Source organism: Homo sapiens, chromosome 10 (assembly GCF_000001405.40).
Source record: "Homo sapiens chromosome 10, GRCh38.p14 Primary Assembly".
NCBI classification, from domain to species: domain Eukaryota; kingdom Metazoa; phylum Chordata; class Mammalia; order Primates; family Hominidae; genus Homo; species Homo sapiens.
In genome coordinates this window covers 22434892-22462693 of record NC_000010.11, presented here as the reverse complement: position 1 = coordinate 22462693, position 27802 = coordinate 22434892, and the positions used below count along the sequence as shown (strand labels likewise).

Here is a 27802-nt window from a genome sequence, read left to right as displayed (position 1 = left end):
GTGGCACGCACCTGTAGTTCCAGCGACTCAGGCGACTGAGGCAGGAGGATCACTTGAGCCTAGGAGTTGAAGGCTGCAGTGAGCTATGATTGTGCCACTGCACTCCGACCTGGGGGATAAAGCAAGACCCTGTCTCAAACAAAAAGAAAAAGGCAGAGGAGCATCTTCCTCATTTTTAGGAAAAGTACAGATACCAAGGATTTGTTAAGGAGAGAGGCCCCAGGAATTAAAAAGCTTTAAAAAGAAGACCCTATCCCTTAGTAATGTTTGCCATCATCATAAAAAACAGATAAAAAGTTGACATTCATGCAACACTTTGCAAAATTCTTTACAAAGAAGCAAGTGAAGTCTTTGCGGAAAAGAACCTTCAACTCCAACTCAGAAAATACCCACATCAATGTGGAAAAGATACAAGACCCATCAGCCAAACAGACAGCTATTCATTCACTGTAAATGTAAGCAGTATTTCCCAGCCCACTCATTTGTGAGTAGAAATAGCATCTCATCAATAATCACGATTTCATATTTCTCAGTACACAGTATGACTCACTGGCAGTAACTCCCAGTCCTTTCTCAGATTCCCAGATTCCTCCCAAAGACTCCCAGGACTTCAGGGGAAGTGTTTGGCTAATGTGAAGAGTGGAAGTTGTCTCTCTTGGTTCTCATGCCATTGTGTAATTTTCTTCCTCTTCTGCCCAACTCACAGCAGGGTGTCATGTGTGGCCATGGAGTTGGGGGAGCAAGGAGCTGCAGGGCCTGCCTCAGTCACTCGGGGTTTACTAAGGCTCTGTATATAGGATGTCTCAACTGGGAATGGTGGCTCATGCCTGTAATCCCAACACTTTGGGAGGCTGAGGTGGGCAGATCACTTGAGGTCAGGTGTTCGAGAGCAGCCTGGCCATCATGGCAAAACCCCGTCTCTACTAAAAATACAAAAATTAGTTGGGCATAATGGCAGGCGCCTGTAGTTCCAGCTACTCTGAGGCTGAAGCGGAGAATTGCTTGAACCCAGGAGGCAGAGGTTGCAGTGAGCCAAGATCGAGCCACTGCACTCCAGCCTGGGCCACAGAGTGAGACTCCATCTCAAAAATAATAATAATAATAATTAGTTTGGAATGGTGATGTGTGCCTGTATTCCCAACTACTGTGGAGGTTGAGGCAGGAGGATCACTTGAGCCCAGGAATTGGAGGCTACAGTGAGATGTGATTGCACCACCGCGCTCCAGCCTGGGCGACAGAGTGAGACCCTGTCTCTAAAAAAATAGTAATAATAATGCCTCTGTCTTCATGGCCACCAAGAGTGCTGTTTTTGACTCCCATGTTCCATGGAAATGTTAAGGAAGCAGCTCTTAGTTTTTATTCCCTCCTATTTAATGGAAGACAGTCTACTCTATTATAAGCAAGGGATCTGAAGTCAGACAGACTTGGGATTTAGATTTTAGATACTCTTTCCTTTAGCTATGTGACCTAGGGCCAGTCATTGAGCCTCAGTTTTTCCAGCTATAAAATGGGGATGATCATAATAGTACCTCAGGACTAGGGATATCCTCAGGACTTAACTAACTGATCCATGTAAAACGCTTGCCACAGCGTCTGATCTTTGTTAAGCACTCAGTAAATATTGTTATTGTTGTCTTTGTTGTAGTCAATGTTATGTTACTGCTGTTCCTACTACTGTCCCCTTCATGTTGGGATTTAGCTATGAGTCCACTGGGACAAGGCAAGAGAATATCATGAGTGACAAGCACCAGGCTTTTATAAGAACCTTCAACCCTATAAAGCTCCTACACAATGCCTGGCACATAGCACCTTCTCAATAGGGCTGACTTCCCCTGTTGACACGGTCTTTCCCCTCTTTAAATAAATATGTATCTGTCACCCATGGTCTGAAAGCAACACTTGATTATATTTTCTCCGTGTGTGTGTGTGTGTGTGTGTGTGTGCTTTAAGCTTTTGGGATAGCTTTTAAGAGATATATCATTGTGGTTTGGGGGAGGAGTTGTATTTTGTTTTGTTTTATTTTTATCTTTATGTCCCTGGAGCTCCTAGCTAGGTTAACTGGTTCCCATTCCATCTCTTCAACAACTCCCCCCACTCCTGGAAACAGATCGGCTCAGCACTTCAGGAGTTCCCATTTTCCAGCTCTAGCGCTTCTTATAGGAAGTGTATAAAGTCCTGGGCCCAACGCTGCTGTCTGACCCACCACTTCAACATCGGCCAGCTCCAGCCGTTCTTCCTCCCAGATTCTGTTCTGCCCGAGAGCACACGTGCCCGGCTGGCCAAGAGTCTTCACTGACAGTAAAAGGAACCCTCAGACAATTTTAAATATTTCAAAAATTCTAACAACAATCAGAGCTGGGCCTGCTGTAAGGGTTGCCGTGTCTAATTAAAATGCCATGAGCCTTGGCATGTGGCTAGAAGTACATCAGCTCTTTGGGGGCAGTACTTGCCGGTCCTGCTGGTTAGATGCTCTGAGTGTCTAACAAAAGTGGAAAACCAATTAGTCATAACTTCCTTTTTCCCTTGATGGGGATTAGGAATAATAAAGACTTCTTGGTGGCAAAAGGCTGGATGCCTCTGCTCTAGTCAATTCCATTTTACCAGTATAAATTTTCATGAAAATCAAACCAAAGGTAGCAAAACAGTATACATGGGAATGTGAGGATATTATGAGCCCTTGTCACCTAATTGCACTGAGTCCATTTGCCCATGCGCAAGGAAAAGCCAAACACCAAAGCACCAGATTTTTGTAGAGAGAAAGGTTTATAGCGAGGTGGCTGTGCAAAGAGACAAGAGATGGGCTCAAATCCATCTCCTTGTACTGGTCTCAAAGCAGTATATGTAAAGGAGAAATTCTGGGGGAGGGGTTTTGGGGTTGGTGAATGATTGGAGGAAGGGGAGGGGAAGTTTGGAAAATCCCTTAAGTGGGTGCGGTTGTCTCTTTGTGCTTCTTTGTGGTTGTATGTGCAAATTTGGGGGGAATTGGTATGAACCATATGGTATGAATTCAGACTGTGACATCAAAAGGTCGCCCATCTGGCAAAGTAAGACCATTCTTCACAGACTGTAGCCAGCCATACTGGTTGCAATTAGTTTCAGCCAGTTTGGCTAGTTTTTTTTTTCTTTTGTTTTTTGTTGTTGTGCTTGTTTGTTTGAGACAAGTTCTTGTTCTGTCACCCAAGCTAGAGTCTGGAGTGCAGTGGTGAGATCACAGCTCACTGCAGCCTTGAATTTCTGGGCTCAAGTAATCTTCCCACGTCAGCCTCCCAAATAGCTGGGACTAAAGCATGGGCCACCATGCCTGGCTTTTCATTTGTTTGTTTTTGTAGAGATGAGGTCTTGCTATGTTGCCCAGGCTGGTCTCAAACTTCTAGGCTCAAGCAATCCTCCTGCCTTGGCTTCCCAAAGTGCTGGGATTAAAGGCCTGAGCCACTGCAACCGCCCCGTTGGCCAGTTTTGTTACAAGTGGAGGGGATTTTTACAAGCTGCTTCCTTATATGCCATCCTGTAAGACAGGCTCAAGAATTCCTGTTACCAACTTCTTTAACCCTTTGGGCACAGTTTCACCTTTAGGGTCGAATGCCTGATATTCCTGCGGCCCAAAAGTCTGGTCTCTTTTAGGCTGCAGGCACCGGGGCAAGCACTTGTTTTCATTGGTAAAATATGCTGTTGCTTTCCAAGAGAAGCATCACCCAAAACTCTTTTGAGATTTTTGACCACCTAGTTTGTAAAGGACAGAGACACAAGGAGGAATATTCCCTGGCTCTTTCCCCAGCCCTTCCTACACAGGACCACCCTGTGGTACTGTTGCCTATAAGTCCAGCTTTCCTATGCCCAGCTAGTTACAACAAATGCGTGGGAATCCTGTCCTTCTCCAGAGCCCTGCAGGTGGCAGATGGAGATCCTCACTCCTTATCCCTCTCTAAACCATAGAGCACAGGGTTAGCTAGTCTGTTCATACTGAAACCTTAAAAAATAAAATAAAATAAATTTTTAAAAAAACCTTTTTTTTTTCTTTTTTTCAGACAGGGTCTCGCTCTGTCACCCAGCTGAAGTATAGTGGCTCACTGCAGCCTCCAATGCCTGGGCTCAAGCAATCCTCTCACCTCAGCCTCCTGAGTAGCTGGGACTATAGGCACGCACCACCACACCCAGTTAATTTTTAAAACTTTTTGTAGAGACGGGGTCTCACTATGTTGCCCAGTCTGGTCTCGAACTCCTGGCTCAAGTGATTCTCCCACCTCAGCCTCCCAAAGTGCTGGGATTATAGGCGTGAGCCACTGTGCCTGGCCTCCCCCGTCCTTCTTTACATGTGTTTTCTGTGCCACGTAATTGATCATTTAAGATCTTGCATTCTCCTCTAACATCTCACGTGCTTTCATTTAAAAAAAATATTTATCTGGAGCAGATTTCACATACTTAACAAGACAAAAACCCATAGGAGGCATGTGATTACTTTATTATGCTCACTAATGTACTTCACGAACAAACCAGAGTTACAGCTACCCACGTCCCTTGCTGCGGGCCCTAGGGAACTTTGCAATGAGTGCTTCATGATCCAGCCAAATATGGAATAAAGGTGTGTTTGACAAATCTTAACTCACATTGCGTGACACACCAATGTTATGTTTGTGGCTTAGATGAGAGTTTGCTGCCTTGGTATTAGCGGAGCCAGCAACCTTGTGAGAAAAACTTGGAAGTGATGCAGCTGCCTCCTGAGCCTACATTTGGGATCATTCCCCTCGCCAAAGCTTCGCCCAAACTTGGTGCTCAGTGTTTGTCCCCAGACTGGATCCTGGCTCACATTAGACAAGTCCAACATTGGTGGCAGGCAAAGTACAGCAAGTGTCTATCAGGCAGGCAGGAGAACACATAATGAAAATTTAAAAGCTGTATAAATCTTCCGGGATTAGAAACACATGGAGCAGGAATCAGGCAAGGGTCGTGACAGAGACGGCAGAATGTCTCTAAATATTATTTCTGACAATACAAAATCAATTTACATTTAATACATTTTAAAACAGCCAACCTACCCATATGATTTGATATTACAAAGGAGAGCTGAAATGGAATCTTAATGTGGTTTGTAAGCATATTCAGCAGAGGTTTATTATTTCTAAAAATGCTTTGTGTAATCATAGTACTTTATCGTTGAAATTGCCAGGTTTTGTGATACAAATATATTAGATTCATAATTAAAATGCTGTTGTCTATTAATGCCGCCACAGCATTTTCCCCAGGCAGACACTTAAAAAAAAATCCTATATACTTTCAAGGATGAGTGATCTCCTCTTTTAGGAGAGATTCCTCCCTCCACATGCTTTATTTATTAATACGATCAATTCAGGGAAGAATAAAGCATCCTCAGAATGAGACTAATGAGGCCTAAGAGCACAAAATTGACAATAGTCATCACCTTGGCCCAATTGTGAAATAGTCTCTCCAGACTACCCACTCTTCTGTAGTTTTAAAGTGGTATTGATTTCTAAGGCTCATCAAACAGTGTTTTCAGAGTAATCATAGAAAAAAAAAATAAAGATACAATGAAAGTTATTGTTGTTGTTTTCTGGGCATGGTGGCTCACACTTATAATCCCAGCACTTTGGGAGGCTGAGGCAGGAGGATAGGTTGAGCCCAGGATTTTGAGATCAGCCTGGGCAACATAGCAAGGCCCTGTCTCTATAAAAAACAAAAAAATATTGCTGGGCATGGTGGCATGCTCCTGTAGTCCCAGCTACTCAGGAGGCTGCGGTGTGGGGTTATCGCTTGATCCCAGGAGTGCAAGGCTGCAGTGAGCTGTGATTGTGCCACTGCACTCCAGCCTGGGTGACAGAGCCAGACCCTGTCTTCAAAAAATAAAAAAACCTGAGATGAGGAGGTTGAAGAGGAGAGAAGCATCATCAGGGCAGGAAAGCAGCAGTTCAAAGGCCAGAGGCAGGATGCACTGGAGAGCAGGCCAGCCTGATAGAAGCAGAGCAGTGCAGACGTGGAGGGGGCACAGCTGGGAATTGCCTCAGATGTCTTAAGGCACTGAACAGCCACTGAAGGAGGGAGTGGGGCTGTCACTAGAAACACATTTTATACGCACATTAAAAAAAAATACTATAGTTGCTGTTGTAGTCTGTACCCTGTGTCATGTCCTGCTCTTCTCCTAGCTGTATATCAGAAACCTTTTCAATGTGTTCATCAGAGCCACTGTTAGTTACAAAATGGTAAGTCATTCAACCATTCCCTTATAATCAGATATTTAGACTTTGTTGAATAATTTTGATTATTATAGAGTAATGCAAGTAATTTTGTACTTAATACCCTTCTTCCTATTTAAGAATAATTCTGTGTCAGGATATGTTCCTAGATGTCACACCAGCCAGAAGTGACAATATCCATTTCCTTGACTATTTGATGGGTGAAAAAATCATTATCTTCTAGTTTCAGTTTACATTCCTTCAATGACTAGTAAAATTGAGTAGGTCTCCATATTTTGTGACAAGTATTATTAGGGCAAAAGATAAAGTTATAAAGTAATTTAGGGAACACATAAAGAGAATTTGGTATTTTATACCGCAGTAAACCTGTGGTATGTGCAGACCAGTGAAACCATTTTAGATTAGGCTACGGTTCTTTAATAAAGCTACATTTTTTAAAATCACTGTCTTCTCTAAAGGCTAAATAAATTGTTCTCTGAAAGAAAGGCATTAACAAGCTAATAAAGTATACCTATAGACATGGATGGAGAGTGAAATCCAGTATCTATATGGCTTAGATACCAGATTAATCTGTTTATATGGCGTAAGCACAAATCTATGCCCAAATCAGTGTCCAAGTATCCGCGAACCCGCCTAGTCTACCAATAGAAACACAGGCTCAACTTCTTTTTTATTGAGCTCAGGATGTATCTGTAATGATCTCATGGAGGGTGGCTTTTCAAGGAACTCCGGGTGGTTGTAAAATAGTGGCTTCACTGAACCACCCAACACAGGAAAGCTATGTTTTTCAGCCCATTAGGAAAAACCCCAAATCAATTTACAGCTGTATTCAGGAAAAGCTCAGAGCAAGATTGCTGAAGGAATTCACTTCAAAGGCCGAGTTCTAAGAGGGATCTTTTTCTCCCTCCAGCTGCCTCCAGGATAGGACCCTACTCTTAAAAGATTTGTTTGAAATTTACGTAAAATCTGGCTGGTTCTCCAGGCAATAATCACAGCCACTGAGGAGAGGTCAGGCCTCTGATGGAGCACACGCCTGAGGTCTGACTGCCTGTATAAAATGCAAAGATGACAAAAAAGGTTCTGGTATGAGTGGAACCATCCTTCTTTCTGAGGGTTGTTTCCGGAGGCCACCTGTGGAGGGCCAGCATTGGGAGGCCCCAGCAGAAGTAGAGGTGGCCCCTGGCCGGCACATCCAGTAGAACCCAGGGCTGAGGTTGGTGGTGGATACCTGTAGTTCTAGCTACATAGAAGGCTGAAGCAGGTGGATTCCTTGAGCCCAGGAGTTCAAGGCCGCAGTGATCTATGATTGCATCACTGCACTCCAGCCTGAGTGACAGAACAACATCCTGTCTCTAAAAATAAAAAAAAAAAAAAAGATAAAAATAACCAGTCTAGTGCCATCAATTCAATAGCTATTGAATACCCCTGTAAAAGCCAATCATTTAAGAACTAGTTTTAGAAAAGACTCAGAATTCTACATGTCTATGAAATAAACTGTGAGTTAGAGGGAATGAATTCAGGAAGGAAGGATCATTCCCTCATCTTTTGTATTACAGTATGTATAAGACAAGATTATCTTACGGCTGAACTGAGAAAGCTCTATGCTTATCTATAAGTGGAGTACAGACTCTTGGTCAAGATAAGGATGGGAGTGCTAATTTGGAATTTGCAATGTGCTGTTTAAAGCTTGAAACTTCTGGGGCTAGCCCCTGGGGCCAGCTTGCCTACACTGCTTAAGGATGTACAGATAGCTGGCTTATACCAAATTTAAACAGTTATGTAACCTGGTTTTAGCTATGTAACCAGTGCATAGAATCTGTGCAAACTTTTTCCCAAATTCCCCTGAAATAAAGATACTTCTCACCTAGCATGCCGGTTCATGATTAAAAAAAAGAAGAAGAATTCTATATGACACTCCACAGTGAAAGTAAAATGCTGAGGATAATGAGTCGTTTAAGCCCAGACAGTAAAAAGCCACCGGGAATAAGGTTTAGCCTCTTGGCCATAGTAGCCTGCCCTTCTCATGCTGGAGTCTTGCACATTACAACCTCTGTATGCATCCGATTGAAGAAGAGAGAGCATTTTGCCAAAACCTTCTACGTGGAAAGCCAGTGTGACCAGACAGACTGTCTTTGATTTCATTATGGTCTGAAGTTTAGTCACCAAGCCGAGCAGCCAGCATAGGACCCGAGAGGGGATGAAAAGGTCTCCACTGTTATTTTCTGCCTCAAGAAATAGGGACTGTTCACTTTTGGGGACTTACTGTTTTCTTCCGTGCTCCTGAAACTGGACACCACTCTGGTGAGCGAACGGTATGAAGAGCTGGGATGGTACAAAGAAAAGGATAATTAATCAGGTCATTCCTTGGCACTCAGCCATAGGTTCCTTGGCAACATGGATCCTTCAGCTGTCAGCAATCAGCCTACAGGCATCTTTCAATTATCAACGCTATTGGAGGGGGCAGTGATGTGGGTAATCCCAAACAGCAGATAATCCCTCCAAATCATTTAATTTATCTTTTGAATGATTTTCACATGTACACACATGATTTCTTCCTTCCTATTTGTGTTCTGCTTAGGCCAAAAATAAAACTGATGTGCATTCTTTGAGCACACACCAATGAATGAGAAGGGTGGCTGAAGGACACTGGTACTCAGATTAGACATTTTCTGTGGATCATCCACTCCTGGATGATCCAGGGTTTCATATATTGATTTCATAGACTCATAGCACTGGAAAGAACCAAGAGATCATTTCTTATTTCAAACCCTTTGTTTTGCAGATGAAGAAACTGAGTCACTGGCCTAAGACCATGTGGCTAGCTAAATAACCATCCAGCTGTTATTATTTTATCCACAAAACTTCTCCTGCCATTGACTGTTCCTTTAACCAGTTGTTCCCAATGAGGGAAAAGTCATACGAACCCAGGTGTAGCTTCTGCTCAATCGCTTCTCATGGGCTGCGTAGTAGGATGCTACAAAGCCAGGCCCCAGACCAGTGGCGCCCACTCTGGCAGCTCATTAGAATCACCCAAGGAGCATTTAAAAATCCCTGGCCAATTAAATTAGAATCTGGAATGGGCGTTGGGTGATTAGCGGGTGAGACCCAGGCATTCAAAGTACAATCAGCTGGGCACAGTGGCGCACGCCTGTAATCCCAACACTTTGGGAGGCGAGGTGGGAGGATTGCTTGAGCCCAGGAGTTTGAGACCAACCTGGGCAACATAAGAAGACCCTGTCTTTAGACAAATTTTTTATTTTTTATTTTTTTTATTTTTTTGAGACGGAGTCTCGCTCTGTCGCCCAGCCTGGAGTGCAGTGGCGCCATCTGGGCTTACTGCAGGCTCCGCCTCCGGGGTTCACGCCATTCTTCCGCTTCAGCCTCCCGAGTAGCTGGGACTACAGGCGTCCGCCACCACGGCTGACTAATTTTTTGTATTTTTAGTAGAGGCGGGGTTTCACTGTGTTAGCCAGGATGGTCTCGATCTCCTGACCTCGTGATCCTCCCACCTCGGCCTCCCAAAGTGCTGGGATTACAGGCGTGAGCCACCGCGCCCGGCCACAAAAAATTTTTTTTAAGTAGCCAGGCATGGTGGTGTGTGCCTGTGGTCCCAGCTACTTGGGAGTCTGAGAGAGGATCACTTGAGCCCAGGAAGTTGAAGCTGCTGTGAGCCATGATTGCACCACTGCACTCCAGTCTGGCTGACAAAGGGAGACCCTGTCTCAAAAACAAACAAAAATACCAAAGTGCAATCAAAGTCAAGAATTATTACCCTGAAGGCTGACTCCTTCCCTTACCAGCTGTATAGCCTCAGACAAACCCCCTCACCTCTCTGGGCCTCCGTTTTCTCTACAAAATGGAATAATGAGGATGGTAGTTTAATATTTGCCTTACTGGGTTGTTGGGAGGATTAAATGGTTTCATATATATAGAAAACACTAAAACAGTTCCTAATACATAGAAGGTGTTAGATAAATGTTAGCTGTTATATTTAGTACCACTACTACTGCCAGGACTATTACATGAGGGCCCTGTGGAAGAAGGAACATGCTGAGGGTTCTTGTTGAGACATTGGGCTAAATGGGGACTCATTTTGGGAAAACTGGCTTGGGGCCTTGAGTTTTAAGTTGACTTCTCCACTCAACAAAATATCCTAGGAGAGGTGGAAAGAAATAAATCAGCTCCTGAAAACAGATTTACCCTTCAACTTGGTGGGGAAGGAGGAGCATTTTAGTGGGTTATATTTGAGTGATATCTGTGTTTTTTAAACATACTTTATTATTTTTGTTTTTATTTTTTGTAAAGACGGGGTCTTGCCGTATTGCCCAGGCTGGTCTCAAACCCATAGGCTGAAGCGAGCCTCCCACCTTGGCCTCCCAAAGTGCTGGGATTATAAGCACGAGCCACTAGGCCCAACAGGATATCTGTGTCTTTTAAATTACCATAGCATTTGGCCACTGTTCACTTAATACTTATACCCATATTGATTATAAACATGCAACCACTACCAACAGAGTCTGAATTTAAAGCATTGTTGATCCCCCCTTTGCATTATAGCACGGCCCCCTTTGAGCCTCTGTGACACACCTTACATTGGGATGAATGTAGATTCCTAGGCCCACTGTGGTGGGGAACACTTTTGATATCAGTTTACTTGTGGTTTTAAGAACCTTTGTAGTATAACTTCACTGTGATGCCAGAAATTTTTCGATTCCCTATTGTTATGAACTAAATGCCTGTGTTCCCAACCCCACATTCATATGTTGAAATCCTAAGCCCCAAGGTGATGATATTAGGTGGTGGGACTCTTAGGAGAAATTAGGTCATGAGGGTGAAGCCCTTATGAATGGGATTAGCGCCCTCATAAAAGGGACAGGAGAGCGCTCTCTACTCTCTACTATGTAAAAATACGGTAAGAAAATGGCCACCTGCAACCTGGGAGAGGCTTTCACCAGAACCCAACCATGCGGGCACCCTGATCGTGGACGTCCAGCCTCCAGAACTGTGAGAAGTCAATTTCTGCTGTTTGTAAGCCACCCAGTCTATGGCATTCTGTTACTGCAGCCCAACTGAGACACCCAATTTTATTTTATTAGCAATCTGATGAATTAGAAATGATCGTTACTGGCCTTCAGAAATTGACCTACTTACTATTGCTTAACGAAGTAGCAACCAATTTTGTTCTAAGGAAGCAGACACACTATACAATTAGTTTCAGGCTAATTGTATGAAACAACCTCACATGCTTCTCACTAAATACTTATTATAAAGATGCTAGCAGATGGGCTTCCTTCTAAATAGACAACTATCATTTTACAGAAAAATGTTGAGACTAGTTATATTTAATAACACATAAGGCAAATGTTTGTATGCTACAAGATTTCAGAATTTATTTCTACTAGTAAAGAAATGATGTAGAAGTCAACTCGTGATATTTATTTATTTATTTATTTTTTACTTTTTGACACAGGGTCTTACTCTGTTGCCCAGGCTGGAGTACAGTCGTGCAAACATGGCTCACTGCAGCCTCAACCTCCTGGGCTCAGATGATTCTCCCACCTCAGCCTTCCAAGTAGCTGGGACTACAGGTGTGTGCTACCATGCCTGGCCAATTTTTTGTGTTTTTTTTTGTAGAGATGGGGATTCACCATGTTGCCCAGGCTGGTCTTGAACTCCTGGGCTCAAGTGATCTGCCTGCCTTGGCCTCCGAAAGTACTGGGATTACAGGCATGAACCACTGTGTCTGGCCTGCAACTCATGATTTTAAAGACTTCTTTTAACAAACAGGTTCCAAAGACCTCACTGTGTATCTTTTGTAAATTGTATTGAAGTATAACATACATATAGAAAAGTGAACCAATCATAAATACACAGCTTGATGAATTTTCACAAAGTGACAAATCCATGTAACGAATAACTTTATCAAAAAGCAGAGCATTACCAGCACCCCAGAATCCCGTAATGCCTAGTCACTGCTCCCACATAATTTTGATCCTGATTTCTAACACCATAGATTAATTTACCTTTAAAAATTGTTTTTTATATCTTAATACAAACATCTTGATTTTATGTAAGTAGAATCATACACTATGGACTCTCTTGTGTCTGGATTCTTTGCTCAGCCTTGTAAGATCCATGTATATTATTGCATGTAGCTGTAGTTTTTTCATGTCATTACTGTGTAGTATCCCACATATAAATATGCCACAGTTTATTCATTCTGCTATAGATGAACTTATTGTTTCCAGTTTGTGGTTAATAGGAATAGTGTTGCTATGAACATTCTAGTACATGTGTACATCGGTCCGTTGGCTATACACCTGGAATTGCTGGGCCTTGGGGTATATACATGTTTAGTTTTAGCAGATTCTCCCAGTTTTCCAAAGTGGTTTTACTACTTTTCCCTCCTATCAGCTGAGTGTAGTCATTCCAGTTGCTCCACATCCTCACCAACCTTTGATATTATATACCTTTTTCATTGTAGACACTCTTTCACCGAACATTTTAAGAAAATAAAAAATAGACATTACAAATCATGATACTGGAAAATGCTAAGCCTGTCCTCAGGACAGGACAGGTCTTTCAGTCTGCAGTAGAAGTGAGAAAAGGACCTGACGGGCATGACTGCAGAGCTACTGTCTCCACAGCTTTTCCAAGTTCCATGGCTGAGCTCCTTAGGCAGTGGGAAAAAAAATACCAGGAAGGAACATGGCCCTGTTTCTTGCCCAGGGTGCTCTCTTGACAATAGGAACTTGGTGATCCCTGGAACAGTTCATATATATTTACTGAGCAGCTCTCATATTGGAATCTTGTCAGGAACCAAGCCTTTGCCCTCAAAGAGCTTACAGTAACCTCAATGCTTTGGAGGGGTGACTCTGGCAGCCAGGCTGGGCATGTCAAACTAGAACAGGGAGGAACCGAGGCCAGGAGGTGCTACAAAGTCCAGAGACACAGAAGCAGGTACCAGAAACAATGGGGCAAATTCCCAATGATCTCATCTACTCAACACCTCCCTGGAAGTGTTTCCTTTATTGAAAATTCAGACATCTTAAAGTTAGTTTACCTTTGGCTTTTTACCCTGGCTTCTAAATGCTGAGTTTCTGCTAAAGAGGTCCTTGGGGGTCTTGGGCCAGCAATCCTCCAACTCCTTGGCCTGTCACCTTCTTAGTTGTCTCTAGATATTTCTAGAGCATGGCTCCTCAGAAACACTCTAAATGCTTACAAACTTTCGTCAAGGGGGCTTGTTAAACACAAATTCACCTTCCTAACACTACTAGTCACCCTCAGCTACCATTATCCCTGCCAGAACATGCCTGGGCTTTAGAGTTCAAGAGAAAGATCTTTTAGCTGAAAAATCCCATCTTCTCTAAGCCTCAGTTTCTTCATTTGGTTCTGGGAGGATTAGATAACTTATGTAAAATACTTATTAGTCCCCTGGCATATATTGGGCATGCAACAAATGGTAGATAATATTATTAGCTATTATTTAACGTCTCACCTGTCAAGTCACATGGCAGCTTGAGTGGGGAGCCTCATCTCTGATGAGATTGCACTGACACCATGAATATGGCCACATCAGAAAAATGTTCCTTCATGACCATAGGAATCAGGCAGGTGCCCATGGCCTGGGAAAGGGGTGCAGAGAGTCATCTGGTTGTGTTTTTCTCTCCAAAAATTCTGTCCTCTAAAACCATCAGGTGTTTTGACTTGATCCCAGGATTCTAGGAATTTTCTTCCACGGGTTGTTAGTTTCTCCACTTGTTCTGCAGCAAGACCACAGAGTAAAACCCAAAATGCATAAACTTTTCTGGTTAATTTATCATTTTCCAAATTTAAATCTCATTTTTTTCAACCTTGACCCCAGTCTTTGGCATCATTCCTTTTCTCCCGTTTCTTTGTGTAGTTTGAAGCCTGCAAATGTGTTCTCAAACATTTTTCTTAAATGATTACTCAATAATCATAGATGGTCAGTCCCAAAGGTGAGTTTAAAATATGTTGGCAAAGAGCTTTCAACTCCTGTCCTGAGCTGACACTTGGATGATTTGCTGAGATTTTCTAACAAACATTTATTAAATATCCACTTTAGTTAAGGAGTTGTGAAGTCCCCAAAGATTAATAGAAGGCTGCTCTTAAGGGGCTCACACAGGCTCGCATCTATGATCCCAGCACTTGGGAAGGCTGAGGCAGAAAGATCTCTTGAGCCCAGGAGTTCAAGACCAGCCTGGACAAGATGGAAAAACCCAATCTCTACAAAAAATTTTTAAAAAATTAGCTGGGTGTGGTGGCACACACCTGTAGTACCAGCTCTTTGGGAGGCTGAGGTGGGAGGATCGCTTGAGCCTAGGAATTTGAGGCAGCAGTGAGCTGTGCTGGTGCCACTGCACTCCAGCCTGAGTGACAAAGCAAGGCCCCACCTCTTAAAAAAAGAAGGGAGTGGGGTGTTCACAGTCTTGAAGAGAAAACGATTAATCAGAGTACAAGGAGGGAAAGAGTATAAACCAGGGTAATAGGCATCCAACTCCCTGCTCCCCCTGCTTACAAGCTGTGTGACCTTGGGCAAGTGTCTTATTTTCTCTGAGCCCTTCTTCACTATTTCGTGCAAAATGGAAATAGTAAAATTCTTCGTGACTGTGTATCAGGTGGGTTAAATGAAGCAACACCTGAAAAGCACTTAGCACATTAGCTGACAGAGTAGCCATTCAATAAAGCTTGGGTCTTAACCTTCTACACCTGCTTCCCAGTTATACAGCAACACACACATAGACATACGCCTGAAAAACTCAGATATATTTAGAACTAGGAAATATTTTTAATTAATCTAAAAACTTAAAACTTTTACATATGATACTGCTATTTCAACTAAACACTCATTTAATGACCACCATCAGTTACAAGGATCAATGGATTCAGAACATCCATACTCTTGGGGGTGGGTCAGGGGAGGCAGGGTACTGAGCCCGCATCCTCAGACTCCACTGGGCGAGTCCAAAAAAGAAACACAAGTTTTGACACACAATCTTTAGGTTTTGGAAAATATTTATCATAAAAAACAAAGGCAATGTTAAATTGAAGATACAAATGATAAAACATTTAATATTCTTTCTAAGTAACCCATGTTGTGTAAAATGATTCAGCGAAGCTTTTTTTTTTTTTTTTTCCAAAAGCACTGCCCATGTCAGTATCACCATACCTTGTTAAACCACACTGATAAGCACCCTTGGAAACCCACTGTTTAACTTACAGAACTTTGGACTTTGTGGAAGTGAACAAACTTCAAAATCTACTTATTGCTGACATTGTTGGTGATGGTGCTTAGAAACCGTTTCTCCAAATTTGCTTTGCACCTAAGAACTGCCTGCAATGAGTAATAATATTAAAATAAAGTAGCTTGCTAATTGATAGGTTATTATGTAGACATCACTTTGAAAAACACATGTTCCTAAATGGATTTACTTGTTTTTTTCTAAATGATGTCCCTTTGGGGAATATTTTAGCATATATATAAATACATTTTAAAAATTGCATATAACCATACATTAAACTTAAAAACTTTTTCACATTGAGGTGAGGAGTAATCATTTTAACTGTTATTAAAATACTATCAGAAAATGATTATTTTTGTTTTTAAACAACACAATAAAAATTTCAAGCATACATAACAATATTTATATAGTGACTCTTTGTATGCCGATCACTCAGCTGCAACAACTACCAATCCCAAGGCCAACCTTGCCTCATTCACACTCTTGTCCATTTCCTCCCTCCCTCATTATTTTGAAGCAAAATCCAGATATTATATCATTTCACCTGTAAATGTTTCATTACTTAACACTAAAATATAATGGCTACTCTCTTGTCAAAATAAGTATAACATCATCATCATCATGCTTAAAATAACTAAGTCTTTCATGTTATCAAATATCCAGTCAATGTTTAAATTTCTCATTGTCTCATAATGTCATAATTTACTTTCTTAAAAACCAGATCCAAATATAGTACATGCTTTGCAACTGATTGTTATGTCTTCTAAGTCTCTTTTTAATTATAGGCCATCTTCCATCTCTCTCTTTTTTTCCCTCTTTGTAATTTATTTTTCAGAAAACTGGGTTGTTTGTCCTAAAGAGTTTCCCCTCTTCGGGTTTTGCTGATTGCATTTTGGGGTGATGTTTTACATCTTTCTCTGCACTCTATTTTCTGCAAATTGATAGTTGGAAGCTTTATACATATGTAAGATTTTTAAGGGTTTTTTCTTTGGCTTTTATCTCCTTTCATTCATTCAACTTTTACTGAATACCTACTATGTGTCTGTTACTGTGGGTTGCTATGAAAACAAAAATGCCTCAGAAGCTTAGCTATGAGTGAAGGAAATGCATGCAAACAGAATTATAATCATTGTGTTTGGAGTTGAAGTTTAAAATAGCTGCTAAAATAGCCCTGAGAGGCAGAAACTAGCTTGCCTGGAGTTAAGGGAGCCTTCACTGATGAAGTGATTTTGAATTAGGCTTTGAAAAATAATGGGTAGGAGTTTTCCAGATGAGAACATAGGAAGAGAGGAAGTGCAGGCAATTTCCAGTCCAAGGGATCAGCACTGTGAAGGCAGAACATCTTGTAAGAAAATAAACACAGCTCAACGATCTAAGTAGAAACATTGATGACAGTGCCCCTGAACTGGATAAAAAGATCTTAAATTCTTTAGTTCCTGCCTCCTCAGTCTCTAGAGAAGTTTAAGGCTTTTAGAAAGAGTTGATCATCTCGTCCAAGGGGAGGAGAAGCAGTGTATGGAGCGGATTCCAAGAGCAGCAGAGAATGACAGCAGATGAGTGGTCAGGGAATCTGAGCACTCCATAACAGAGCTTCAGACAGAGCCCAGCTGGCCTGTTCCAGGACTGGGGTCTTTGGCATATCCAGTGACTGGCATGTTTTACACATGCACTCAAAAGCAGCCTTTGGTAAGATGGTCAGGTGAGCAAAGTTCATTCTTGTTATTTCCTCAGCCCCCTTGGCATACTCCTCTCATTTTCCCTGCTCCTGCTCCCATCACCTCCATCCCCAACAGCAATGACCCTGAACAATATAAGGAAAGAATCTGATTCTGCAAATATGAGAAGATGCCTGGGGGAAAAAGAAGGACCAAAGGGAAACGCAGGGTGGTGGGGGCGGGGGCAGTGAGAGAAGTAGAAAGGTCCTGGAACAGCCCTTCTGGAACAATGCTCCCAACTACTGGCTGCTCCGTGAGATGATGCTCCCATTTCTCTCCTTCTCCAGTTGGCAAACTACAACTCATCCTTCAAGGCCAGCTCAGGGGCCACTGTCCACTATCCCTGTGACTTTTCACCTTGCTGGATAAACGCTCCCATCACCGTGCTCTCACAGCACATGTGCAAATCTCTCAGTTCCCACATGCATCACTCTGTATTATAATCATCTACTTGTGTCCTCCCATCTCCTCCATGTGACTCCTTCCAAATAAGATTGTGGTCCACTCCTCTCTAAGTCCCTGTGCCTACTCTAGTGATGGCATATAAAGATATTCTGTATACATTTGCTTTTTGACAAATTGAAAGTATTTACTAGAAGCATTTGGCCTGCATCCTTTGCCACACTCCACCTCTTTTTTTCCCTCCCAGTTATAAGAGGGCATAGTAGATGGTAGTCAAGAAATAATGTCCTAACTTTGCTATTGTGGTGTCAGGCCTAAAAGTAAGGAGCAGTATTACTTGTCATCTGGGGAAAATCAAGAGGGCCTGCCTCAAATGAAAGCCTTCTTCCCTCTCCGTTCCAGCAGATAAGGTCCCCTAGCCAAGCTACCCTCCTCATCAAGTGGACCAGGTGGTGTTCCCGCTTATCCCTGAGTATTGGGTTTCAGTTCCCTGCCAGCCCATGGAATTGAAACAAGCCAATCACATCATCCTATAGGAAGCAGGGGGCACCCCACCCTCTTGTTACCACAAAGCCTGCCTCCCAAGCCCCTGCTTATTCATTCAGTTCCTGAGGACAATCTTCATTCACTCTTGTGTGCCGTATCCTTCTCCCCCTGGCTATGAGTACATGTGACTAATAAGCTGCTGTCAATCTCAAGTGTCCAGTGTCAGGTGCTGTGTGTCTGGCCAATGGCATAACCTTAGGGTGAGAATCCCTTCCTCACCAATGTGGTAAATAGGAGGTGACTAAAACCGTTAGTCCCACAGGAATAGCAGTGATGGTGGGGAAGTGGCAGCCAGCCAGGCAGGGATGTAGGAGACCTAGAAATTTTGGTTCATCTCTGTCATGAGTCTCATTTCATGCTGGGCTCCTGAGTTCCTAAGGTAGTACTGGTCACCTGTACATGATTGCCAATGTTGACTGAAAAACAAAAACTGGCAAAATGTGCATTTACCCAGGTAAAAAGTCTGCATGGGTAATGAATAATACCACATGTTGCGTAGTCCAGATATTTCAAAAAATGGCAGCCCCGAGAGTGGAAATATCGCTTTTTTAAAGGTCTTTAACTGAAATATTTGGGCCCAGACTAAGCTAAATTTTATAGGATTGCTGAGGTTAAACTCTAAGGGAGCCCTAAGCTGACTTCTTTACATTCCAGGTTGTTTTTCCCTTTTTAACCCAACTTAAAGCAAGGGGAATCCATTCGGTACCAAAGCACTAACCAGCTGGGGTTATCCAAACAAGAGTAGATATTTTCGGCCTGAATTATTTCCATAATTTCACCACTTTCCACTTGGCAGTAGAGTTATTATTCTGCAACTGTATTTCATGTTTGTGAAGGAGCAGACTCCTCCCAGCCTGCAACTATGAGACAAAAGCCACAACTCTTAGATGCAAATCAGCGTCCCAGCCCTCATTTAATAAAATGCTTATTATATAATCGTTTTAAGATACAGGTATTAGAAAAATGAGGAAGTAACAACAACCAAAACCAAAATGAAGAAAAACCCAATCTTCAGAAATGCATCAATGTTCTCTTGAAAAAAACTTTCCCTGCTGAATCATTCACTTTTCAAATATGACTTTGTGTTAGAAAAAAGTTCAGATTCCATCCAAAGTTCAAGTCCATTGTTCCCTACCTAGGTAATTGCCACAGATCAGCAGGGTATTACTCTCTGATGTCCCAGCAGCGAATCATTCAGCTGACAGCATTTTAACATCTGTTGTAGACATTTTTTAAAAAGCATCTTCGGCATCCAGAGGAATTAAATACATCTGATAAATGTCTGAGACTTTGGACAAGGCTCAAAGTCATTTTTTCTGAGTGAAGAAAGTACACTAAAAAGAGAGTAAACTGTATTCACTTTTTCAAATTCCCTAAATACTAACATTTGCATTTTACTATGGGTTGCTATACTATTTATTATTTCAACTCCATCTTACTCTATAGAGCACATTACAAAAGCTAGCAATAATTCTCACCTTACATGCCTGAAAGGTGGGTTTATTAATTTAGTAAAACCTAAGTAAATAATAACATTTCAATCATTCCATAACCCTCCTTGTCTTTTCCCATCAACACACTCCTAGGACACCGAAGATGGCACTGCCAGCCAAGATGTGTGGCATAGGTGCTCTTGTTTTCCCATGGTTTTCTATTTCTAAACATTGTTCCATTCACCTTTATTATAGACACTGACTCATGGAATAGTTACAGGAACGTGTCCATAGTCTCTCAGAACTAGGAACAGAGCACAGAAATCTCTGTTCTTGACTGTTTGTACTGACCCCTGGAAATTCTATGTGTTTCAGTGGGACACAGACCAGGGCATCCTTTTCCCTGATCCTGTTGAGGATGTGGAAGGAGTGACAGGAAGACTGTGGTCAGGAGTCTGGATTCCAGTCCTGCTTTTATCACCAACTAGTATCCTTTGGCAAGGTCTGCTTTCTGATCCTCACTTTCCTTATCTATATAATGAAGACATTGGATCACAGGATCATTTAAGGTCCCTTCAGATCTAACTTTTTATATGTGATAGATCATTTCTGATGGTGGTCATGAGAATCCTTCCTACCTCCTATTTTGTACCTTTTTTTAAAGGTACACTTTACCTAAAAGCTACAATAAAATGCATACATTTTGACAAATGTATACACTTGTATGTATACTGCCACAATCAAGGTACAAAACACTTCCATCATGCCAAAAAGCTCCCTCATGCCCTTTTGCTGGCAATCCCCATCCTCTAGCCTCAGGCCACCAGTGATCTGCTTTCTGTCACTATAGATTAGTTTGCCTTATCTAGAATTTCATATAACTAGCATAATATATATGCTCTTTTGTGTCTGGCTTCTTTCACTCAGCCTAACCACATTCTTTTTGTAATGTGCCTGTACCATCCTCCCATCAAGAGTAGAATCTGTTTTCCAGCTCCTTGAATCCAGAATGGCCCTCTGACTTGCTTTGACCAACAGAATACAATGAAAGTAATGCTGTGTGATTACTTCTACCCCTTGGTAAACCACTGCCATGTAAAAATGCCTGAGGTAGACTACTGAATTACTGAAGACCATGTGGAGTGAGAGGGAGGTACATGGAGGAGGACCAAGTTCCAGACTTGTGGATTAGGCCAACTTGGATCCTCCAGCCCCTTAAGATACCCCTAATCAAGACCACGTGGAGCAGAAAAGAGCCATCCTCCCTGACCCCCGCCTGTATTCCTAACCCAAAGAATTGTGAGTGAATAAAATGCTCTTGGTTTAAGCCACTAAATTTTTGGGTGGCTTGTAACAACCAAAACTAAAATGATGAGTCTTCTGCCCTGTCTTCCTTAAGGTCCAACAGAATCTCTTTCGGGCCCTAAGACTATTAGCTAACTATACAGGTGTTTTCCCTGAAATTTTTTCTACTTCTCTCTCTTTCCTTTTCATATTCTTCCTCCCTCGGGTGTCATAAATTGCATCTGAATTCTTGTAACTCTGTTTCATGAACTTGAAAACTGCAGTGTGTTTTTCTTCCATTTCACTTTACAGGGTTAAAGAGTATCAAATCTTTTCTCTCTTCCCTTCAGATCCAGTGTTCTGGCATTTGAATTACAGCATGTTCTAGAGAAAAATAGAGTGTGGGAGCCAAGAACCCTCATTTTATACCTAATGAGCTGTAAGGTTCTGGGCAAGTTTGAAAGCTTCCTACACCTGACTTTCTTCATGTAATCTCATGAGCTGGTGGAGAGAGCATAAACTGCAAAAACAGATGAGAAAGTCAGTCAAAAGCAAAGTACTCTTTATTTCCACAACTCGGACAAGTTTTCTGCAATGATATTTGCGTGCCCTCCGTGTGTCAAGTTCTCTGTCACAGGCTTGAACATGCAAGGTAAGGTTTGCCTATCACCAAGAAAACAAGATAAACACTATTTCTGCCTTATGGGCTTTTGCTGGAAGTGAGATCTCTCTCTTCCACTCTCTCTCTTGCTCTCTCTATGTGTGTGTGTGTGTGTGTGTGTTTTATGTTGCTGTTCTCCACAAACGTTTTGTTGTGGGCTACTGTAAGACTCGTTATGGTCAGGCAAAATCTGGATGAAACATTCTCATGGAAGGGTGAAAGGTGAGGTTTATATGAAAAAAAAATGCACAGGGCCTAAGACTTCTAGAAACTACCCCTAACAATAAAGGAATTATGGTAGTCCTCTTTTCCCAAATACAATTTTAAACGTAAAAATCACACTAAACCATAAAGGTAAAGAAGCTCGTTTCTAATTCGCACCTTGATAATTACTTCAAAGCTTTGTTTGAAATATCAAAATCTTTCTAATTTTTTTCTCTCATTTTTTTCTTGCATGTCTTTGTTTCTGTTGGTGTCTTGGAACAGAGAATCTCAAAAAATGATCCCTGAACCAGCAGCATCAGCATCACCTGTGAACTTGTTTGAAATGCTAATATGGGGGCTCTACCCCAAATCTACTGAATCATTAACTCAGCGGGTAGGGTCTAGCAATCTGTGTTTTAACAAGCCTTTCAGGTGATTCTGAAACACTTAAGTTTGACAATTACTGCCGAGGACAGATACTTGGGCTGCCTGTTGCAGTTTATCAAACTGGCTGTTCATTAGAATCTCCTGGGAAGCCTTATAAAATTATCAGTGCTGGGACTCCAATGCCGTAGATTCTAATTTATTTGGTCAGGGGTAGGCCAGGAAACCAGTATTTTTAAAGTCTCCTAAGTGATTCTAGTATGTCTACCAGCATTGAGTATCACTAGCATTTTAGGTAATCTGGCTTTGACTCCTAGGCTTGAGCAACTTGGGGGACAGAAGGGAGGAGCTCAGCATGCTTCCTCGGTTTAGGATGAAGAGGATAGGCAGGGAAGTAAGGATAGTTCAGAAGAATGTTTAAACAAGTCTGAAATAAGATACATTTAAATGTGAAATGTGGAAGGGGAAGAATTATAATTAAGCCATAGTCTTCAGGGAACATTTGAGGCAGTGAGCATTTTAGGCTGAGTAACAGGAAATAAGTTTAGAGAAAACCGGTGAAAGAGAGTCAGAGATAATACAACTGAGATAAATTAGGCTTGAATATTCCTTATGGGGCTGTGCTGTGCACTACAATCCCATAAGCTAACATTATTTACTCTTAAAAAAAATCCTGGGAAAGAACACCTCTATTTTTTAAAAAAATATGTTTAATTTTGCTATTCTCCACATTATTTTTTGTTGTATATTACTATAAAATTGGTTATGGTCAACCAAAGTCTTGTGAAGGAAACAGTCTCATGGAAGAGTGAAAGCTGATTTGATTATAATAGCTAATAGTAGGATTTGTGAAGTAATTTTCACTTACACAACACTCAACTGAAGAAAACCAGCAAGATCATTTTTAGGCTTTTTAAATATTACAGGCATAAAAAATAAACTTTTAGAAATGGATTCATTCTGGTTAAAAGTTTTTTTTAAAAGGATCTGACTTTTAAATTGTATTTCATCATATATTTTTGACATGTTCATATCTCAGATGAGTTGAGGGACTGAAGAAATGAGTTTTTAAAAAATTGGTGAATAAAGGGAACCAACTAGCAAAGAAGGTGGTTGTGGCAAATGTAAAAATAAGAAGAAAGATGTAGTGAAAGGATGAAAGGGCCCTGGGAGTGGAATAATATGAAAGAGGGGACTTTTGTGTTTTGTTCACTGCTGTATCTACAGCATCTAGAACAATGCCTGGCACATGAAAAATGCTCAACAAATACAGTGTACTTGTTGAATAAATGACCTCCAAGGATACCTCCAGTTTTGTGTACCAGGATGCGATAATTACTGGGTGATTGAGGAATACACTAAATTTTTAACTTTTTTATTTAGAGCTTTCCAGCAGTACTGACACAGGTGTTATAAACTTTCCCTGCCAAGATGTGGCCTTTTCCTAACGAAAAGTTCCAAAGGAATGGAGATTGAGACTGGAGTAGTTTCTTAGAGGAGGTGGCTACTCCGATCCTCTTCACTCCAAAATAAAGTGTACTCCCGCTCACTTCCCTCAAAACAAATCCACCACTTATAAATGTGCAACCTGTGGGGCCATTTTTGAAACGTGTAATAAATAGGAGGATGTGGCCAATTTTCAGCTGAAACACTCCCCAGATATGCCTCCAAGCACTGTGTACACCACCATCTTGTAGGTGTTCTGAATGTCCCCAAGCCCCATGTTTTGCTCACGAGGCATGCCACCCTAACTCCCTGCTGCTGGAAATGAGAATATGTCTGAGGGTAACAGATGAACAGTAATAAATGGCTTCCATTTTCTTCATACATTTTTGATGGGCTGACCTCAGAGAACCAATCCCTCTAATGAAGTGGAAGGCATCCTAGAAGTGAGAGCTCACTTGTTTCACTTTCTTATTTGGAAAATGGAATGCTGGCGTGACCCCTTCTTAGCTATTCCTAATGTATTACTGCTCCAAAACACAAAGAGCAGGTTCAGAGATAACTTCTCCTTGCATCATTCGCCTTTTGGTTTTATGTTTGTCTCACAATAACTTTAGATAATGTGCCCTGTTTCTTTTTTTTCCACTGATTCAGCAAGTATTTACAAAGCCCCCAGAACACTGCTAGGTACCCTGCTAGGCTCCAGGGAACAAAAAATTCCCTGCTCTCCAAAAGGAGATAAAAATCAAGTGGGCAGAGAAGCCAATAAACGTGTAAAATGCGTTATCATACCAGGAGGTTATAAATGCTACAAAGAGAAATAAAACAGGAGTATGGGAGATGGGCAGTAACAAAAAGCTCTAAATCCAAACTTTACTACGCTGCTGTCAAAAAAAAAAAATATTCTATGCTCCCCCCAACCCTGTTTTGTTTTTTGTTTTGTTTTGTTTTGCCCTTGCAGCTTGCCAGCTCTAACAATAGCTGCCTTTTAAATAGTAGTCACTCTGAGGGATGAGAAATTACCTAATGGGTCCAAAGGACACTATTTGGGTGGGGGCAGCACTGAAAGCCCAGACTTCACCACTCTGCAATACCTGGAAGCAACAAAGCTGCACTTCTACCTCCTGAATCTAAAAACAAAACTAAAATAAACAATAGATTCTTCACTGCTGACTCCAAGCCCCTTTCTTAGGTTCGGTTTCCTCCCGCTTCTCTGACCAGGCGCTTCCATGGGCTCTGCATAAAAATTCGAAGATGATGGGATCCCCAAATCAGCTAGCAGCCCCACAGCCCTCCCGCCTTCCTCCCCTCTCTCCACGCCTCCCCCAGGCCGGCGATGCCGTCAGGGCCCGTGTCTGAGGCGTCCGGTGGATTCAGCAGAACAAACATCATAAAAAGATTATTTGCGAGAGGAGAAGACGATGCTGTGAGAACTTGGTCCCAGAGACCGTCTCAGAGCAGCAGAAAAACCGCAGGAAACCTAAGGAGCACGACCCTGACGGCGACGGAGGGGGTGCGCGCGGACAGCACTGTCACCTCCCGCCGACGCCAGGGCTCAAATCGGAACGAAGACTGGGCGGCCACAAATGCCGGCTTCTCCTTTCTTTCGCTGAGGCGGAGAAATCGCCCAGCGGTGCCCGGCGCGCCTCCCGCGGAAAGCGGGCGGTGACCATTCCGACAGGCCGTCCGCAGCGCTCCCTTTCCGCAGACAAAGCTGCCTCGAAAGGCGCTCCGCGGCTCCCGAGTCACCACGTTCCATTCGGCAGAAGAAAGCGAAAGCGGCCGCTCCCTGTCAGGCAGCCAGACAATAGCGGCGGGCAGGCCGCTCCACGCCAGCATCTTTGTTTCCCTCGCGCCGGGAAACGAAGTCTCCGGATACCACAGAAACCAGAAGCCGATACCACAGAAACCAGAGGCCGCTCTTCCCGCTCGGACGTTTACAGCGGGCGGGAGCGTGGCGGCCACCTCCGTCTTGGGGAAGCGGCAGGTTGAGCCCCGCACCTTGCTGTGCCCTCTAGAGCGAGCGGAGGAAGCAGGCGAAAAGCTGCTGCGAGATGTTGCGGCCTTGCAGACGTCTCAGCTCCTCCCGGCACGGCGGCCTGGTAAGGCGGGAAGTAGCGCCGGCCCCGCGCGGAAGGAAACGTGCAGCGCGATGCGGCTTAGCGCGGCTTTATAGAGCCGAGGCTTTATAGAGCCGCGCCCCGGCGACCCCTGCGGTGACTGCTGTCGGTCCGCGTTGTGTGTGTTCTCTGTTTCGGCCTCCGCTGCCCGCTGCGGCCTTGCCCCTGCGCCTCGGAGTAGCCGCCGCGGGCCTGTCTGCTGGAGCAAGGAGACCCGGAGGCCGTCCCAGGGGCGAGGGGGTAGCGGCCCCGGCCTCTTGGGCCCTCGGCCTCGCGCCCACCGAGCCCTCTGCCCGGGTTTGGTTGGGTGTGGAGCTTGCGACGCGCCCACTTCCTGGGCTGTGCTTCTGCCCGAGCTGATGCCTCGCCGCGACGCCAGGCCCTATCTTGACAGCGGGTGCCAGCAGGTCCAGGCCTACTGACGGGCGGAAGTCGGCCCGGTGCCCCCTCACACGCCCACACGCCGGGCGTGCCTCAGTTTCCTCTATTGTGACAGAATAGAGATGAGACGATGCAGGTTAAAATTACCTACCGGCGCATAATGAGTTCTCCAGCATCTAGCTAGTTCTACCATAGGATTAATACCCAAAACCACGTGGGTGGAGCTGAAAAACACGATGCTGTGGGGGGAAGAACCCAAAAAGCCATAGTCGGTCTGATGTCCATTTATAGGACATTCTAGAAGAAGCAACAGTGGCGATGCAAAGCAGTTGCCTGGGAAAGGAGTGGAACAGGACAGAATGGAATGCACAGGAGCGGGGGAACTTTGGGGCAGTGGTGGGACAATTTCATATCTTAATAGGAGCGGCGGCAACATGACGTATACAGTCGCCCCAAATCATCAAACTGTAGTTTCTAAATGGGTACGGTTTATTAACATTCAAATTATAAGAAAAGTCATTTCCTCAAAAGTTTCGGGGTTGGGGGAAGAGTTAAAGAAGGTCGTGGCTAGGTGGTTGTTGAGGAATAAGGGAGAAAATCACAGTTTACAAAATCTGAGAGCTGAATCCGTGCTGTTTCTCGATTGAGAAGCAGTGGACATCAGCAGTAGGAATGGCTCAGGTCCAAGAAGGCTATGCCCTACCAGACCCGGTTGATGTGCTTCCCCGGATTTACTCTGTCCCACCGTCCACCTCCACCCCGGCCTGCACCTCTCGCTTAGGGTAGAGGCCTGGCCTCCAGTGCCATCTCCCGACAGCCTCCCCCAGGTGAAGGTCATGCTTCAGCACTGCCTCCCTGACAGAGGCTCTGATGATGGGATGCTCTGACTCAGACTCAGGTGAGAAATTTGAAGGAACAGAATGCTCTTGCCTAGCAGTTGCCGGGAGGGGTCAGGTGCTGCCCCCAGAGAAGTGGGAGAGTTAGAGGTCCGTGAGGCATACTTTCCCCAAAGGGGGCAGAAAGCATGAAGTGGTCAGCATAGAAACTCGTCTCCCTGCCATCCACACAGTCCCAAGGCATGCTGGTTCTACATGGCTTGTCTGGAAGCTGTCCTTGAATGTAAAGTTGTTTTCAGCTCAATAATGTATTTGCCTGCCTTCGCCTTTCCTTTCACCCTTACCACCTTGGAATTGTACCGCCTAATAAAATCTTCGCACTTAAACTTGGCCTCAGGCTCTGTTCATGTGAATCAATTTAGCAGCCTTTGGGCTTTAGATCTGTGCTTTTCTGAAAATTTGGCAACCACAACACAAAATTAGGATTTTTGTTTCCTCTGGGCTCTGGTTTACTGTCCCATTAAAGTGCTTCTGTAAAAGGCAACCCAATTGAGACCAATGCTGAATATATAAATTTTTATAGGTATGCCCCTGTTTGAAGTTGCTAGAGACAGTAAAAGTTTGGGCTTCCATTTATTGGTTCCTAGTGGTGTTTATTCTCAAGAGTAAATTCCTAGAGCATTAGCACTTAAATGCTTTAAAAATTTGGAAACTTAAACCTGAGATGCATGCAAATGCAAAACAAAATGCTTTCAAATAATGATCATAAAGCTGTTAGTCTGGGGAGGTCTACTTATGTTTTTGGTCATGTTCTAGCTTTCCTAAAGACATCAGGGGAGGATATGTTAAAGCCTTTTTAAGTGATTTCTGGTTCATAGTGCTTTGCAAAACAATTTTTCTTGACATTATTTTCTATATTAAATA

The 27802-nt window shown here is 43.1% G+C and overlaps 2 long non-coding RNA genes across 2 annotated transcripts, besides 6 other annotated features; one reads left to right on the top strand and one right to left on the bottom strand.

Annotated features, from left to right (window-relative positions):
- Positions 1-70: 70 nt before the first annotated feature.
- LOC105376449 (uncharacterized) lies at positions 71-25619 on the bottom strand. The gene is made up of 4 exons (XR_001747392.2): positions 25543-25619; positions 13705-13969; positions 8470-8528; positions 71-109 (listed from the first exon to the last, which is right to left on the bottom strand). It is a non-coding gene; the product is annotated as an uncharacterized LOC105376449 (long non-coding RNA).
- Positions 24350-24850: an enhancer, noted in NCBI's record as "H3K4me1 hESC enhancer chr10:22726773-22727273 (GRCh37/hg19 assembly coordinates)". NCBI's record gives its function as "activates a minimal SCP1, AML or CMV promoter by ChIP-STARR-seq in primed H9 embryonic stem cells {active_cell/tissue: H9 hESC(primed)}" and the evidence as "EXISTENCE:reporter gene assay evidence [ECO:0000049][PMID:30033119]".
- On the top strand, positions 24765-27269 carry LINC03027 (long intergenic non-protein coding RNA 3027). The gene has a single exon (NR_036533.1). It is a non-coding gene; the product is annotated as a long intergenic non-protein coding RNA 3027 (long non-coding RNA).
- Positions 24851-25351: an enhancer, noted in NCBI's record as "H3K4me1 hESC enhancer chr10:22726272-22726772 (GRCh37/hg19 assembly coordinates)". NCBI's record gives its function as "activates a minimal SCP1, AML or CMV promoter by ChIP-STARR-seq in primed H9 embryonic stem cells {active_cell/tissue: H9 hESC(primed)}" and the evidence as "EXISTENCE:reporter gene assay evidence [ECO:0000049][PMID:30033119]".
- Positions 24851-25367: a biological region, named in NCBI's record as "H3K4me1 hESC enhancer GRCh37_chr10:22726272-22726772".
- Positions 24858-25017: an enhancer, noted in NCBI's record as "active region_3133". NCBI's record gives its function as "activates an Ori minimal core promoter by ATAC-STARR-seq in GM12878 lymphoblastoid cells {active_cell/tissue: GM12878}" and the evidence as "EXISTENCE:reporter gene assay evidence [ECO:0000049][PMID:35858748]".
- Positions 25318-25367: an enhancer, noted in NCBI's record as "active region_3132". NCBI's record gives its function as "activates an Ori minimal core promoter by ATAC-STARR-seq in GM12878 lymphoblastoid cells {active_cell/tissue: GM12878}" and the evidence as "EXISTENCE:reporter gene assay evidence [ECO:0000049][PMID:35858748]".
- Positions 25838-26017: a silencer, noted in NCBI's record as "silent region_2210". NCBI's record gives its function as "represses an Ori minimal core promoter by ATAC-STARR-seq in GM12878 lymphoblastoid cells {active_cell/tissue: GM12878}" and the evidence as "EXISTENCE:reporter gene assay evidence [ECO:0000049][PMID:35858748]".
- Positions 27270-27802: the final 533 nt, after the last annotated feature.